At 41.4% G+C, this 17844-nt stretch overlaps 1 long non-coding RNA gene and 1 pseudogene across 1 annotated transcript; one reads left to right on the top strand and one right to left on the bottom strand.

Annotated features, from left to right (window-relative positions):
* Positions 1–8119: 8119 nt before the first annotated feature.
* On the top strand, positions 8120–10439 carry LOC124905210 (uncharacterized). Its single transcript, XR_007068313.1, has 2 exons — positions 8120–8607; positions 9452–10439. It is a non-coding gene; the product is annotated as an uncharacterized LOC124905210 (long non-coding RNA).
* On the bottom strand, positions 9733–9822 carry LOC124905296 (uncharacterized; annotated as a pseudogene).
* Positions 10440–17844: the final 7405 nt, after the last annotated feature.

The following is a 17844-nucleotide window of genomic DNA, read 5'->3' as shown; positions in this document are numbered from 1 at the left end:
GTCTCGATTTCCTGACCTTGTGATTCACCCACCTCAACCTGGGAAAGTGCTGGGATTACAGGCATGAGCTACCGTGCCCGGCCGAGGATTTTTGCATCAGTGGTCATCAGAGATATTGGCCTGAGACTGAGTCTTGCTCTGTCACCCAGGCTGGAGTGCAGTGACACGATCTCAGCTCACTGCAACCTCCGCCTCCCAGGATCGAGTGATTCTCCTGCCTCAGCCTCCCAAGTAGCTGGGATTACAGGCACGCGTCACCACGCCCAGCTTTTTTTTGTATTCTTAGTAGAGACAGGGTTTCACCATGTTGGTCAGGCTGGTCTTGAACTCCTGACCTCGTGATCTGCCCGCCTCTGCCTCCCAAAGTGCTGGGATTACAGGTGTGAGCCACCACGCCCGGCTGTGGTTTTCTTTTATTGTGTCTTTGTCTGGTTTTGGTATCAGAGTAATGCCAGTCTCATAGAGTGAATTTAGAAGTATTCCCTCCTCCTCTATTTTTTGGAATGGTTTGAGTAGGATCAGTATTAGTTCTTCTTTAAATGTTTGGTAGAATTCAGCAATGAAGCCTTTGGGTCCTGGGCTTTTCTTTACTGGGAGACTTTTTATTACAGCTTTGATCTCATTACTTGCTTTTGTGCTGTTCAGGTTTTGGATTTCTTCCTGATTCAATCTTAGTAGGCTGTGTGTGTCTAGGAATTTGGCCATTTCTTCCAGATTTTCCAATTCATTGGCATATAGTTGCTCATAGTAGCCTCTAATGATCCTTTGAATTTCTGTAGTATCAGTTTTAATACCTCCTTTTTCATTTCTGGTTTTATTTGGATCTTCTCTCTTTTTTTCTTAGTTAATCAGGCTAAATGTTTGTCAATTTTCTTTAACTTTTCAAAAAATATCTTTTTGTTTCATTGATCTTTTGTATTGTTCTCTTCATCTCAATTTCATTTATTTCTGCTCTGAACTTCACTATTTCTTTTCTTCTACTAATTTTAGGTTTGATTTGCTCTTGCTTTTCTAGTTCTTTAAGATGCATCATTAGATTATTTATTTGGAGTTTTTCTTCTTTTTTGGATGTAGGCACTTAGAGCTATAAACTTTCCTCTGAGTACTGCTTTTGCTGTATCTCATGGGATTTGATAGGTTGTGTTTCCATTATCATTTGTTTCCAGACATTTTTCAGTTTCCTTCTTAACTTCTTCACTGATCCAGTGGTCATTCAAGAGCATATTGTTTAATTTCCCTGTGTTTGTATAGTTTCCAAAATTCCCCTTGTTATTAATTTCTAGTCTTATTCCATTGTGGTCAAAGAAGATGCTTGATATTATTTCAATTTTTGAATTTTTTAAGACTTGTTTTGTAACCTAAGATATAGTCTATCCTTGAGAATTATCCATGTGCTCAGGAAAAGAATGTGTATTCTGCAGCTCTTAAATGACATGTTCTGTAAATATCTATTAGACCCATTTGGTCTACAGTGCAGATTAAGTTTGATGATTCTTTGTTGATTTTCTGTCTGAAAGGTCTGTCCAATGCTGAAAATGGGGTGTTGAGGTCTCCAGCTATTATTGTTTTGGGACCTATCTCTTTCTTTAGCTCTAATAATATTTGATTTATATGTCTGGGTGCTCCAGTGTTGGGTGCATATATATTTAGAATTGTTATATCTTCTTGCTGAATTGACCCCTTTGTCACTACACGGTGACCTTCTTTGTCTCTTCTTCTGGTTCTTATCTTGAAATCTATTTTGACTGATGTAAGTATGGCAAATCCTGCTCTTTTTTGGTTTCCATTAGCATGGAACATCTTTTTCCATTCCTTTATTTTCAGTCCATGTGTGTTTTTATAGATGAAGTGTGTTTCTTGTAGCAACAGATCAATGGGTCTTGTTTATTCATCCATTCAGCTACTCTATGTCTTTTGATTGGAGAATTTAGCCTATTTACATTCAATGTTATTATTGATAAGTAAGGACTTATTCCTGCCATTTTGTTATTTGTTCTCTGATTGTTTTGTGGTCTACTCTTCCTTGTTTCATTCCTGTATTCCTCTAGTGAAGGTGATTTTCTCTGGTGATATGACATAATGTCTTTCTATGTTTTTTTATCCATTGTATGTTCTTCAGTTTGAGGTTACCATGAGGCTTGCAAATAATAACTTATAACCCATTATTTTAACCTGATAACAAGTTGACACTATACACATAAAGGAACAAACAAGCAAAAAAAAAAAAAACTAATAAAAACTCTACACGTTAACTTCATCCCCACCGCTTTTTAACTTTTTATTGTTTCTATTTACCTCTTATTGTATTGACTATGTCTTGATGAGTTTTTGTAGTTGTTATTTTTGATTGGTTCATCATTTTGTCTTTCTACCTAGTATAAGAATAGTTTACACACCACAGTTACAGTGTTATAATATTCTGTGTTTTTCTGTGTACTATTACCAGTCAGTTTTGTACCTTCAGGTGATTATTGCTCATTAATGCCCTTTTCTTCCTGATTGAAGTACTCCCTTTAGCATTTCTTGTAGGACAGGTCTGGTGTTGATGAAATCCCTCAGCTTTTGTTTGCCTGGGAAAGTCTTTATTTCTCCTTCATGTTTGAAGGATATTTTCATCAAATATACTATTCTAGGGTTACAGTGTTTTTCCTTCAGCACTCTAAATATGTCACACCACTCTCCTAATCTGTAAGGTTTCCACTGCTGCCAGATGTATTGAAGCTCCATTCAATGTTATTTGTTTCTTTTATCTTGCTGTTTTTAGGATCCTTTCTTTATCCATGACCTTTGGGAGTTTGATTATTAAATGCCTTGAGGTAGTCTTCTTTGGGTTAAATCTGTTTGGTGTTCCACAACCTTCTTGTACTTGGGTATTGATATCTTTCTCTAGGTTTGGCAAGTTCTCTTGTTATCATCCCGCTAAATAAACTTTCTACCCCTATATCTTTCTCTACCTCCTCCTTAAGGCCAATAACTCTTAGATTTGCTCTTTTGAGGCTATGTTCTAGATCCTGTAGGTATGCTTCCTTGTTTTTTATTTCTTCTTTTGTCTCCTCTAACTGTGTATTTTCAATTAGCCTGTCTTCAAGCTCACTAATTTTTTTGTCTGCTTGATCAATTCTGCTATTAAAGGACTGTGATGCATTCTGTAGTATGCCAATTGGATTTTTTTAGCTCCAGAATTTCAGCTCGATGCTTTCAAATTATTTCAGTCTCTTTTTAAAATTTATCTGATAGAATTCTGAATTCCTTCTCTGTGGTACCTTAAATTTCTTTGTGGTTCTTGCAGACTCATAGGGGTACTGCCTCGATGGTCTTGGACAAGATCTGGGAGAATTCTCTGCATTACCAGGCAGAGAATCTTGTTCCCTTCGCTTACTTTCTCCCAAACATAGTCTCTCTGTTCTGAGCCACCTAAATTTGGGGTGGGGTGACACAAGCACCCCTGTGGCCACCACCACTATGACTGCACTGGGTCAGACCTGAAGCTAGCACAGCGCTGGGTCTCACCCAAGTCCTATTGTAACCTGTCCCTGGCTACTGCCTATGTTCGCTCAAGGTCCTGGGGCTCCACAATCAGCAGGTGGCAAAGCCAGCCAAGCCTGTGTCCTTCCCTTCAGGGCAGTGAGGTCCCCAAAGCCCCAGGTGGGTCCAGAAGTTCCATCTGGGAGTCAGGGACTAGAGTCAAAAACCTTAGATGTTTACCTGGTGTTCTATTGTATTGTAGCTGAGCCAGCACTCAAACCACACCATTCAGTCCTTCCCACTCTTCTCTACCCTTTCCAAAGGGAGAGGAGGTTCACCCCATAGCCATTGCCACCCCAGGCCACAAGGAGTACTGCCAGATTATGGCAGATGTTACCTTAAAGCCCAACGTCTCTTAAGTCAGCTTGTCATGCATGCTGCCTGGCCTGGGATTCACCCTTCAGGCCAGTGGGCTTCCCTCTGGCCCAGGGCAGGTCCAGAAATACCATCCAAGAATCAAGTCCTAGAATTGGGGATCCCAAGAGCCCACTTGGTGCTCTACCCCCTGTGGCAGTGTGTAAGGTACAACACAAAGTCCCCTTTACTTTTCCCTCTGCTTTTCTCAAGCAAAAGGAGTTTTGTCCCATAGCCACCACAGCTGGTAATGTGCTGAGTCTCACCTAAAGCCAGGAAGTCTCAGAGGTTCACCCAAAGACTTCGATGTAGTACCTGGGTATTGCTGTTGGTATTCAAGGCCCAAGGGATCTTCAGTTAGCAGGCGATGAATGCTGCCAGGACTGGATCCTTTCCTTCAAGGAAGTGGGTTCTCTTCTGGCCCAGGGTGTGTCTAGAAATGTCATCTGGGAGGTAGAACCTGGAACAGGGACCTCACAACTCTGACCAGTGCCCTATCCTGCCGTGGCTAAGCTGTTATCCTAGATGCAAGACACAAGTCCTACCCACTCTTCCCTCTCCTCTCCTCAAGTGGAAAGAAGGGGTCTCTTTTGGAGCCACAAACCATGCAGCCTAGGATTGGGGGAGGGGTGATGCCAGCACTCCCTTAGCCACTGCAGCTGGTGTCTCAGTATGGCGCATGCCCCCACAGTCCACTGTCTCTGGGCTTAATTCAACACTAGGACTCACGACAAGTTGCAGTCCTAATGGCCTAGAATGTTCTTTAAGTTTACTTGGAGACGCAGAGTGCTATAGTTCTCACTGGTGAGGTTTGTGAAAACTCAAGTTCCAAACACCGAGACTGGTGATTCCCCTCTGGCTAGGGCTACTTGAAATGCTCCCTCCAAGGGCAGGCATCAGCTGAGTTTGGTCTGGGTTTCCTTTCTGCTCTAACAGGACAGCACTGAGTTCAGTGCCTCACAATTGCTGTGTTCTCCCTCCCCCAGCACCCAGAGATGCTCTCCCCACCACGCCATTGCTGCCGGGGGTGGGGAGAGGTGGTGTAGGCAATTCCAAGCTGTTTTTTAATCTCTTCAGTGCCTCTTTTAGCAGTATGAACATGAGGGCTCACCTGATTTTTGATTCTTATGAAGGTATTTCTTCTGTGTAGGTAGTTAACTTGGTGTCCTTGTGGGGGCGGAGTATGATCGGTGGCGCTTTCTATTCTGCCATCTTGCTCTACCCTCCTCCAGCTTTTGTCTGTCAGGATTCTTGCCAAATGGCCTTCCTCTCCTGGCAACTCTCAAATCACCCTGGGAGCCTGCCATTTAACAATAAATACATTATAAACAGCAATAGGCCAGGCACATGGGCTCACACCTATATTCCCAGCACTTTGGGAGACTGAGGCAGGAAAATTGCTTGAGCCCAGGAGTTTGAGACCAGCCTGGGCACCATAGCGAGACCCCACCTGTAAAAAAATTTAAAGATTAGTCAGGCCTGGTGGTGTGTGCCTATAGTCCCAGCTACTCTGGAGGCTGAGGTGGGAGGATCACTTGAACTCAGGAGGTAGATTGCAGTGAGCCAGGATCACGCCACTGCACTCCAGCCTGGGCAACAGAGTAAGACCTTGTCTTGGAAAAAAAAAAAAAAAAATGGCCGGGCACGGTGGCTCACGCCTGTAATCCCAGCACTTTGGGAGTCCCAGGAGGGCGGATCACAAGGTCAGGAGATCAAGACCATCCTGGCTAACACGGTGAAACCCCGTCTCTACTAAAAATACAAAAAATTAGCCAGGCGTGGTGGCGGGCGCCTGTGGTCCCAACTACTCGGGAGGCTGAGGCAGGAGAATGGTATGAACCCAGGAGGCAGAGCTTGAAGTGAGCTGAGATCGCGTCACTGCACTCCAGCCTGGGCGACAGAGCGAGACTCTGTCTCAAAAAAAAAAAAAAAGAATGATAAAAGTATTACACTGAAAATCTGTGGTGCTAGAAATAATAGTAAGAGTTAACTTTTTTGTTTGTTTGTTTTTTAGACAGTCTCGCTCTGTCACCCAGGCTGGAGTATAGTGGTGCGATCTCAGCTCACTACAACCTCCATCTCCTGGGTTCAAGAGATTCTCATGCCTCAGACTCCCGAGTACGTGGGATTTCAGGTGTGTGCCAGCCCGGCTAATTTTTTTTTTTTTTTTTGTATTTTTAGTAGAGACAGGGTTTCACCGTGTTGACCAGGCTGGTCTCGAATCCCTGACCTCAAGTGATCTGCCCGCCTTGGCCTCCCAGAGTGCTGGGATTATAGGCTTAAGCCACCATACCCAGCCAAGAAATAATAAATTTTATTTATTTATTTATTTATTTATTTATTTATTTATTGTGAAGGAGCTTTGCTCTTGTTGCCCAGGCTGGAGTGCAATGGCACAATCTCAGCTCACTGCAACCTCTGCTTCCCGGGTTCAAGCGAATCTCCTGTCTCAGTCTCCCGAGTAGCTGGAATTACAGGCACCTGCCACCACGCCCGGCCAATTTTTTGTAATTTTAGTAGAGATGGGGTTTCACCATGTCAGCCAGGCTGGTCTCAAACTTCTGACCTCAGGTGATCCACCCGCCTGGGCTTCCCAAAGTGCTGGGATTACAGGCATGAGCCACCACACCCGGCCCATAAATTTTAATTTTATAAAAATTACACATATGCTATCTAAGTTATGATGGATCTTACATGCATGGGAATTGATATATAACCACATGTACATATATATTTTAATCTACTTTCATACACTCTGACAATCACAGAAACTAAATCTGAATGATGACAAATACCACGTTTGGTCATTAGTATTAACGTGCTATTCAGATCTGTACGTGTGCATAAGTACCTTCATTCATAACCCATCTATACAGGTACATAAGCAGGGCCCACTTTTCACTGCAATGCATTTCTGGATATTGTGTTGTAAATGGTATCATCATAAAGTGGATTCTGTTTTTCCAAGGCTGTAATTGAGGGTTTGCTCCTGACAAATAACTTGTCTTCAAATAAATACTTGCTACAACTAACCATATGTCATTAAAAAAGAAATGCTTCAAAATAAACTTCTTCAAAAATTAAAACAATGAACTTCATTTAGTCATGTAATAAAGGACCTTTATGTTTTAGACATACATTTTCTCTGTCCTGTAACTTGTGCATAAATGTTCTGTGAAATTTATCTTACAAGGGTCCTTGAGGTACATGTAGCACAGGACACAGAAAACCCAAGTCTATCATACATTATACTAAAATAAGTAATGTAGCTGTAATAAGCATTAAATATTCAACAATTGTGTTTACCTTCTTAGAATCCTGAAAGGATTTTATAGGGTCATCTTGACACAAGGCTCTAAAATGCTGCCCAAGGAAGTTTGCAATAAGGCCTCCTGTTCTTTTTTACAAATTTCCTTGAGCACCAAGCATGGCACCCAAACCTTTCAGTAAAGAAAGGTTTCTTTAGGAGCTAGGCCAAAGCTTTGAACACTGGAGGAGATGCTTTCACTGCAAGAAAGAATTGGGCTACTGCCAGACCCCTGCTGGGCCTCACATCTCTCAGAATCTACAGCCTGTGAAGTCCTCCAGTAGGTTCCCATTTCCCACAAACTGCCTCTCAGCCTTATACCTTAGAGGCAGCTGCAGCCTGGCCTTATATATCCAACTAGGGCAAGACGCATCTAAGAACCACACCACTGCCGCTACCACCAATTGCTCTGCAGAGCACAGGTGAGAAAATATACTGGTCATGCCACTGCCTGGATCCTTCCACACCTAGCAATGTAAGGAACACCAATAAAACAGCAACTCCTGCCTCCAGGTCCAAATACAGCTAAATTTGGGGAGACCTGAGAGCCCCCGTTTATCACAAAATAGCAGGACTAACCATCTAACCAAATTTGTGATGAGCCAAACCCACCATACCTCATTTACATCCCTGTTTTCCTCTGTCATCATTCAACATGTAAGCATCCAGTTTGACATACCTGCTTTGTGACCTTGGGCAAATCACTTGAGCTCTGTGCTTGTCTTCTCATCTGTAAAATTAAGGTCTACTCTTCATGAGGTTTTATGAGGATTAAATGAAATAATCTATGCAAAGCCCTGTTAGATTATTATTATTATTGTTATGTTTTATTATTATTGTTGTTCTTATCCTCTAACTGCATTCCCATATTGCTCTGTGCTTCTTCTCCCTGAACCTGACCTTCCACTTTTTTTTTTTTTTTTTTTTTTTGAGATGGAGTTTTGTTGTTGTTGCCCTGGCTGGAGTACACTGGCAGGATCTCGGCTCACCGTAACCTCCACCTCCCGGGTTCAAGCGATTCTTCTGCCTCAGCCTCCCAAGTAGCTGGAATTACAGACATGTGCCGCCATGCCCGGCTAATTTTGCACTTTAGTAGAGACGGGGTTTCTCCATGTTGGTCAGGCTGGTCTTGAACTCCCGACCTCAGGTGATCCGCCTGCCTTGGCCTCCCAAAGTGCTGGGATTACAGGTGTGAGCCACCATGCCCGGCCCTGACCTCCCACTTCTACCTTCACTCCTTACATGCTTCGGCTGTGCCTCCTGGAACACTATTCCATGATTAACAAACTCTTCTGCCATCCACAAACTCATCCCCGAATATCCACGTTCCTGGGTTTCCCATGAGGATGGAGCTTCCTTTACAGCCCTTTCCAGTGAAAGTGATCTATACCAACACATCGCATGTACTGCATATGGAGGAGGTAAGGTGGGTATCCTCTTCCAACCACACTGCACCTTTCAAACCATTCCTCCTCCACCCTCAGGCAAAACCCCCTGATCCTTCTTCCTCTGAGTTTCATGATATTTGGTTACACCTTGACTCCACCTCTTTGCTCTCCTGTACTCATTCATCAAAGATGCTGGCATCTGGTTCACAGCCTTTCTTCTCACTCCTACCCCCAGGGGTGTTAAGCACTGCAAGAGAAAGTCACATAGATGAACAGGTTGTTACCACTCTGAATTCGTAGTCACCAACGTCAAGTGGACCTTCAATATTTCTGGGGATTCCTGTCATATTTTCAACTCACTCTCTCATTTTCCCAAATGATACTTCTCAATCTTCTTCATTTTCCTCAAAACTCCAACTACTCAGCTGCCCCAAAGATAAGATAGAAGTCTCCAGATGGAAACCAACTTCCTACTACCAAACTAGAAACATATTCACAGCCATCCTTTTCTACTGTTACAATGAAAGATATCCCTCTTCCAATCTAGGTGTAATTCCTCCATGTGCATTGTAGAGCCCATTCATGTACAGGTCTCCTCACTAGCCATACTCAACCTATTATTACCTCTTTCCTATTTTCAACCTCTCACTCTCTACTGGCCCCTTTCTCTTGGCTTTTTCAAAGGATGTACATGAATATTCCAACATTATATAACATCCAAACAACACAGAAGCCGACAATCATAATAGCTAACATTTATTGAGGACTTACCATGTACCAGGCACTGTTGCAAATGCGTTCAGGTATTAACACATTTAATTCTCAGAATTACTTATCAAGTAGATACTATTAGTATTTTCTCTTTTCTTGAATTAAGAACCTGAGGAAAAAGAAGTAACTTGCCGAAGATTACGCAGATATGAAATACCAGAATCTGGATTTGAACTCAAGTGGTCACAACACTATGCTCTCTAAATTACCACATTTAAAGTGTCCCTGCTGTGTCCTGCCCTGTCCTGCCCCACTCCACCTCGTTCTCCCTCCCCTCCTTAACTCTTCCCTTCCTTCCCCATAGGTAATGACTGGCAATAATTTTGTGTGTATATTGTGTGTACATTTGTGTGTATATCCTTCCAGAAATTTTTGGCGCATTTATATACACAGTACATATGTGCTTTTTATCTTTACCTGTTCAGAGAAACTTCTCTAGTAACAAACTATAGAAGTGACCCCTGAAAATATAGTCTTACACACATGCTTTTAAACTGATACATAATATTTGCATAAATTTATAGGGTATATGTAGTATTTCATTGCATGCATCGAATGTGTATTAATGAAGTCAGGGTATTTAGAGTATCCATCACCTTGAGTCTTTATCATTTCTATGTGTTGGGAATATTTAAAGTCCTTTCTTCTTGTTATTTTGAAATGTACAAAGCATTGTTGCAAACTATGGTCACCCTACTCTGCTATCAAACATTGTAACTTATTTCTTCTATGTAATTGTATTATTGTACCCATTAACCAATCTTTCTTCATCAACCCCCCCCACCCACATACACTTCCCACCCCCTCTGGTTTCTATCATTCTACTCTCTACCCCCATGAGATAAGCTTTTTTAGTTCCCACAGATGAGTAAAAACATGTGATATTTGTCGTTTTGTCCCTGGCTTATTTCACTTAACATAATGACCAGACATGTTGCTGCAAATGACAGGATTTCATTTTTATGGCTGAATAGTATTCCATTATGTATAAATACCACATTTTCTTTATTCATTTGCCTGTTAATGAACATTTAGGTTGATTCTGCATCCTGGCTATTATGAATACTGCTACAATAAACACTGGGGTGCAAGTATCTTTTGGTTATACTGATTTCTTTACTTTTGGGTAAATACTCAGTCGTGAGATTGCTGGATCATATGGTGGTTCTATGTTTAGTTTTTTGAGAAACCTCCATGCTGTGTTCCATAGTGGCTGTACTAATTTACATTCCCACCAACAGTGCATATGAGTTCCCTTTACTCTGCATCCTCACCAGCATCCGTTGTTTGCTTTTTAATAACAGCCATCCTAACTGGGGTCAGACAATATCTAATTGTGGTTTTGATTTGCATTTTCCTGATAATTAGCGACATTGAGCATTTTTTATATATCTTTTGGCCATTTGTGTGTCTTCTTTGGAGAGATGTCTATTCATGCCCTTTGACCACTTTTTTAATAGAATTACTTTGTTGTTGTTTTTGTCATTGTTTTTACTATGGTGTTGAGTTCCTTATATATTTTGAATATTAAACCCTTATCAGATACCTAGTTTGCAAATGTTTTTCTCATTCCGTAGGTTGCCTTTTTATTTTGTGTTTCCTTTGCTATGCAAAAGCTTTTTGTTTAATTAAGTCACATTTGTCCTTTTTGTTTGTTTGTTTTTGTTGCCTGTGCTTTTGAGGTCTTAGCCATAAAATATTTGCCTAGATAAATGTCCAGAAGTGTTCCTCCCATTTTCCTCTAGTAGTTTTATAGTTTTGGATCTTATGTTTAAGTCTTTAATCCATCTTAAATTTTTGTATATGGTGAGAGATAGGGGTCGGATTTCATTCTTCTGAATATAAATATCCAATTTTTGCAGGACCATTTATTTGTGGTGTGTGTGTGTGTGTGTGTGTGTGTGTGTGTGTGTGTGTGGGTGTCCCAATATATCCATGTAACAACACCAGCACCATTTATTGAAGGCAGTGTCTTTTCTCCAATGTATGTTCTTGGTGCCTTTGTCTATAATCAGTTGGCTATAAATACATGGATTTATTTCTGGATTATCTATTCTGTTCAATTGGTCTATGTGTCTGTTTTTATAACAATACCATGCTGTTTTGGTCACTATAGCCTTGTAATATAATTTGAAGTCACATAGTATGATGCCTCCAGCTTTGTTCAGAAGGCTGCTCCTTCTGAGACTCTTTCACTGATTCCTTCTTCTCTCCCAGAATGCTATCCTTGGTATTCTCTTCTCTGTCCACACTTCCTCTCTTGATAATCTCATCTTGTCTCCTGGCTTTAAACACCATTTATATCTCCATCCTAGACTTCTCCCTTAAACTCTAGACTTGTATATCCAAGTACCTATTTGACTTCTCTGCTTGAATATCTAAAAGACATCTCATAGCACATGTCTAAAACTACCACTTGTTTCCTAAAAACTACTGAAATAAAATAAAAAAATAAACAAAACAGTACTTCTAGTCTCTCCCCATTCTGCCTCCCCACACACATCCGAAAACTTATATTACTGACAGCCTTCAGTTGATGACAGTTGCTTCCTTTCATATGGATGGCACTGCATCCTTTGCTTAGATCCAAACTCTTTGGTATTTCTTTGACTCCTCTCTTTCTCTCACATTCTATCTTCAAATAATAAAAAAATCCTATTTACTCTTCAAAATATATCAATAATTCACCCACTTCTCACAGCTCTCACAGCTACCATCCTGGTTCAAGTCATCATTATCTGTTGCCTGGATTATTTCAATAGCCTCCTAACTGGTGTTATACCTCTGCCCCCTACCACAATCTACTGTCAACACGAGTCAGATTTTCCTATTAAAAATGAAAGTTAAATTAAAGTCTCTCCTCTGCTCAAACATCTCCAGTGGTTCCCCATCTCATTTAGAAGAAAACCAATGTCTGTACAATAGCTTACAAGGTCTTTAATTGTCTGGATTTCTGTTATCTCTTTAACATCATTTCCTACTAGTCTCCCCTACTTTCTCTGACTCTTCTCTAGTCACACTAACCTACTTGCTATTTTTCTTTTCTTTCTTTCTTTCTTTGTTTTTGTTTTTGTTTGACAGAGTTTCGCTCTTGTCGCCCAGGCTGGAGTGCAATGGCACGATCTTGGCTCACTGCAACCTCTACCTCCCGGATTCAAGCAATTCTCCTGTCTCAGTCTCCTGAGTAGCTGGGATTACAGGCGCCTGCCACCACACTGGGCTAATTTTTTTGTATTTTTAGTAGAGACGGGGTTTCACCATGTTGGCCAGGCTGGTCCTGAACTCCTGACCTCAGGTAATCCACCCGCCTCGGCCTCCCAAAGCACTGGGATTACAGGCGTAAGCCACTGTGCCCCGCCTCCTCCTTCCTATTTTTCAAACACACTAGCCATGTTCATACCTTAGGGTCTTTGCACTGGCTGTTCCTTCTACCTGGAAGGCTCTACCCTAGATCTCCAATGACTACATCCCTCCCTTCCTTCAAGTCTTTGCTCAAATGTCACCTTCTCAATGAGGCATTGCCCTAGTCACTCCACTAATAACGTCATTTGCCCTCCCATCCCTTTTGCTCAGGGATGTAATTTTTCCATAGCATGCATTACCTTCTAACATACTATAAAATTTGTTATATTATTATTTATTGTGTCTCTTCTCAACCAGATTGTACGCTCAATGAAGGCAAGGATTTGCCTGTTTTTGTTCACTGTTTTATCCAAGATCCTGGCACATGGTACACATTCAATAAATATTTGTTGAATGAATAAATGGAATACCACATTAACTACCATTAAAGTTTCCTATTCCCCATTATAGCAACAATCCTGGAAATAGTTTTCTATATTCACAATCAAGGTTAACATCATCGGTGATAGGTCATGTACCTTTGATATAATGTGATAATGGCACTTTACCTTCCTGATCTTCCTTCCAGAAATCCATAACCCCTAACTATGAAACAAGCATCAGACAAACCCAAATTCTGTAAAATACCTCAACAGACTTTTAAAAATTGTCCACGTCATCAAAAACAAGGAATGTTTAAGAAACTTTCACAGCCAAGAGAATCTAAGGAGACATAATAACTAAATATGATATAGTATCCTGGATGAGATCCTAGAACAGAAAAAGGAACATTAGGTAAAAAACTAAAGAAATCTGAATAAAACATAGACTTTAGTTAACAATAATCAATATTGGTTCATTAGTTGAGGCACATGGCCTTTCCACTTTCTCTTTCTGTTTAGCCTAATCCCTCTCTTCTTAAATCTGGGCTGATCTTAGAGACTTGCTTAACCAAAAGAATGCAGCAGAAATGACATTCTGGGATTTACAAGGCTAGTTCATAAGAAGCCTTGCAGCTTCCACCTGGGCTTATTGGGACACTCCCTCTTGGACCCTTGAGGCACGATGTAACAAGTCTGTCTACCCTGAGTCTGTCATTCTGTAAGGAGACCCTAGCTAGCCACATGAAGGGATGTCTGGAGAGAGAGAGATGACCAACTTGCCCCCAACTGGTCTAGTCCTTCTTCCTCCTTTCCCCCAAACCAAAACCAAAACAAGAATTTGGTCCTCTTGCAGTATTCTGTAACTCAGTAAATGGCACCATCATCCATCCATTTGCACAAGCCAGAAACTAGGAAGTCATCCTTGTTATGTGCTGTTACTCATCTTGCCCACTAAATGTCTCTTAAAAGCTTGCTTGGGCCAGGCACAGTGGCTCATGCCTGTAATTCCAGCACTTTGGGAGGCCGAGGTGGGTGGATCACTTGAGGTCAGGAGTTCGTGAACAGCCTGGCAAACATGGTGAAACCCCGTTTCTCCTAAAAATACAAAAAAAAAAAAAAATTAGCCAGGCATGGTGGCACGCGCCTGTAATCCCAGCTACTCGGGAGGTGGAGGTTGCAGTCCACCTAGGCACTGCACTCCAGCCTAGGCAACAGAGCAAGACTCCATCTCAAAGAAAAAAAAAAAAAGCTTACTCGTTCTTTCTCAATGTCTACCACTCCTTCTACCACTTCTACCTAAGATATCTTCTTTTCTCAGTAATAGCTTTTTAATTGATCACCCTGCTTTGACTTTTGCCCCTCATCCAATACTTTTTACAGTCAGTGTGGTCTTTTTCACTTTTAAACTTTTTTTTTTTTTTTTTGAGACAGGGTCTCACTCTGTCACCCAGGCTGAAGTGCAGTGGTGTGATCATGGCTCACTGCAGCCTTGACCTCTTGAGCTCAGGTGATCCTTCCACCACAGCCTCCCAAGTAACTGGGACCACAGGCATGCACCAACATGCCTGGCTAATTTATTATTATTATTATTATTTGTAGAGATGGGGTTTCCCTATGTTGCCCAGGCTGTAAACTTTTCAATGATTCCTATTTCTCTTAGCATTAAAAACAAAATAATTAATATAGCCTCTGAGGCCCTGCATAGCATGGCCAATATCTACCTCTTCAGCCTCATAAAATTCTCCACTTGATGTCTGAGCCCCAGCTACACTGGCTTTCTTTTGTCCTCCATATGCACTGGGCTTCCTCCTGCCAGAGGGTCTTTGCACATGTTTTCCCCTTTGCTTGCAATGCTTTTTTTCCTGCTTCATCTGGTTAACTCCTGTGCAGTCTTCAAATCTCTGAGGAAGTTTTGCTTGGTCAGGAAAACCTCCCTGACCTCATATTCTGTGTGCCTCTCCTACAGAATAATTAATTGAGTAATTAATAGAGAACTCATCACAGTTGTAATTTTACATGTATTTGCATGAATATTTGAATAATGTCTATCTCCCTCACTAGACTGTCAGCTTCATGTGGCAGGCGCCAAGATTGTTTTGCTTGGTACTCTGCCCACAATATCTAACACAATGCCTAATACATACAAGGTGCTAAATATCTATTTGTTGGAGGAAGGAAGAGGAGAAAGCAAGAAAAAGATAAGGAGAGAAGTTGGGAAGGAGAGAAGGGAGAGCAAGAGAGGGGACTCTCCCCCCGTGACTATTTGTAAATGTTTATTCTCCTTGTATTTCTAACAGACTTTGCTTTATATTTCTTATTCATGTCATTATGTGCATAAAGGTCCATGACAGTCACATGTTCTTGGTGGAGTGCACCTTTTATCAATATTAAATATCCCTTTGCCAGGCATGGTGGCTCATATCTGTAATCCCAGCTACTCGGGGGGCTGAGGTGGGAGGATCACCTGAGGCCAGGAGTTCAAGACCAGCCTAGGCAACACAGTGAGACCCCCGTCTCTACAGAAAATACAAAAATTAGCTGGGTGTGGTGGCATGCACCTATTGTCCCAGCTACTCAGGAGGGACAATCAGATTGTCTAACCAGACAATTAGAAAACCATCAGATCTCATGATAATTCACTCACTCTCATAAGAACAGCATGAGGGAACCACCCCCAAGATCTAATCACCTCCCACGAGGACCTTCCCCCAATATGTGGGGATTACAATTTTGATTACAATTCAAGATGAGATTTTGGATAGGGACACAGCAAAACCATATCAGAGCCTTACCTCTCAGTGCGGGCTGGGAATGTTTCCATACCTTCCAGGTGACCAAAAGCATTATTTTATTATCTAAACATGCAAAGAACCGAGTATCCCCCCATAACTGCCATTAACCATCCCTAAAAGTATATCTCCTACCTAGCTATTACATACCAAGGCTAAAAGCTATCTCAATACGCAAAGTAAAAAGGTCAGGTATTACAGTGCAAAACAGAGTAGAGCCTTATATCTAATCTGTTTGCTTACGACTCCTGGGGTTCCATGAGGAAAACAGAGGTTCCACCCAAAACAGAGTCTGTGGTGCCTTCTGTTTTTCCTGAGGGGTCCCATGCTGTTAGGAATCATCTTAGGTCCTCTCATGTGGGCATCAAGGGTGGCAAGAGGGCAGACAGAAGTAAATGGAGAAACATAATTCAGTCAACTGGGAAGAAAAAAACCTTTTCCTCAAAAAACAAGATCCAAGAAGGGAAAAAGCATAAAGGCCTTTTACTGTCATAATTTTGCAAAGGCAGTTTCACTGGTATTACTCAGGAGTGTATTTCTCTCACGATCAAAACTGCTTCTGTTTTTTTCCCTATATTTCCTGAAAGTCCAGATTACACAAAGGTCTGTTCTGTTGTTTTCGTTTTTCTAGGATCCTACACTCACATTAGCAAACCTTTGGAAGCAAGTAGTTCGCTTTCTTTAGTGTGAAATTCTAGGTTTTAACCTTGGAATAAGTTGGGGGGAAGGAAGGACAGAAACAGCCACAGAAGTGACCCTTCTTTTCTGAATATAGTTCTCATTTGTTTGTTTTTTTAACTGCTCCATTCCAATTGTAGTGAATGCAATTCTTTAATTAACTGGAAGTTCCCCCTTCCCATGCGTTTGCATTTATTTATTCTGAAATTTGATTTTCTCTGGATTTACTCCCGTAATCTTCTCTTGCAGGTTTTGGACCAGGCTTCTCTTCCTCTCTTATCAATATGATTCTAACTGATTTCTATCCTCAGGGGATTCTTCACAATTTCTGGACTGCTGATGGTACACTTTCCTTTAATTATACTGCTCTTGTTTATTTTGCCATTGTAATATTTTAAGGGATTTGAAGTGGGGAGGATGAGAACAAAGTTACAGGTGCGTAGGCTGCCATCTTGATTTAATCTGACCAGAGTCATTTTCTTATGTCAATTTGCCTGAGGTGAGGAGACTGGCCAGGGCTCACTCAGAGAGGCAAGGAGAAAGGGCCTCTTCCAGGGAAGGCTTCTGATTACTCAGGATTTCTTCTTCCTCTTCTTCTTCTTCTTCTTCTTCTTCTTCTTCTTCTTCTTCTTCTTCTTCTTCTTCTTCTTCTTCTTCTTCTTTTCTTCTTCTTCTTCTTTTCTTCTTCTTCTTCTTCTTCTTCTTCTTCTTCTTCTTCTTCTTCTTCTTCTCTTCTTCTTCTCTTCTTCTTTTCTTCCTCTTCTTCTTCTTCTTCTTCTTCTTCTTCTTCTTCTTCTTCTTCTTCTTCTTCTTCTTCTTCTTCTTCTTCTTCTTCTCTTTCTTACTATTGTACAATATTTATATTATGATTACTCATGACCATTAGGACTTAAGGACCTACAATCTGCATATCAGTGTTTTAGAAAGAGCAAAGGCTACAGCTAGCACATAAGACCCCTTAGGGCAAATTATAAAAGGGTATGACCTTCGGAGCAGAAACATTGCAAAAAATAGTCTCCCCTTGGGGTAGATTAATTGGAAAAAGGCACCTCTTTGGATAGGCCAGTCATAAGAAAGTTTGCCTTTCTCTGCTGACCATGGCACCCCTGAATTAGTACACAAGGCTTGGTTACTAGTACAGTATAGGCTAGATTTCATTTCCCCACACATAGCTGTGTGGGGGGCATAGGCTGCAGAACCATATTACCAATTATGGTGGCCTCTGCTGGTGCTAATCACAATGCCCAGAGACAAGGCCTCTGCCTTCTGGAGTGTCTCCCAATTCCACGCACAGGTCTGAAAGGTCA

This window comes from Homo sapiens, chromosome X, assembly GCF_000001405.40.
Source record: "Homo sapiens chromosome X, GRCh38.p14 Primary Assembly".
NCBI lineage: Eukaryota > Metazoa > Chordata > Mammalia > Primates > Hominidae > Homo > Homo sapiens.
Note: the sequence above shows the minus strand (reverse complement) of the source record. Positions and strands in the feature narration are given on the sequence as shown.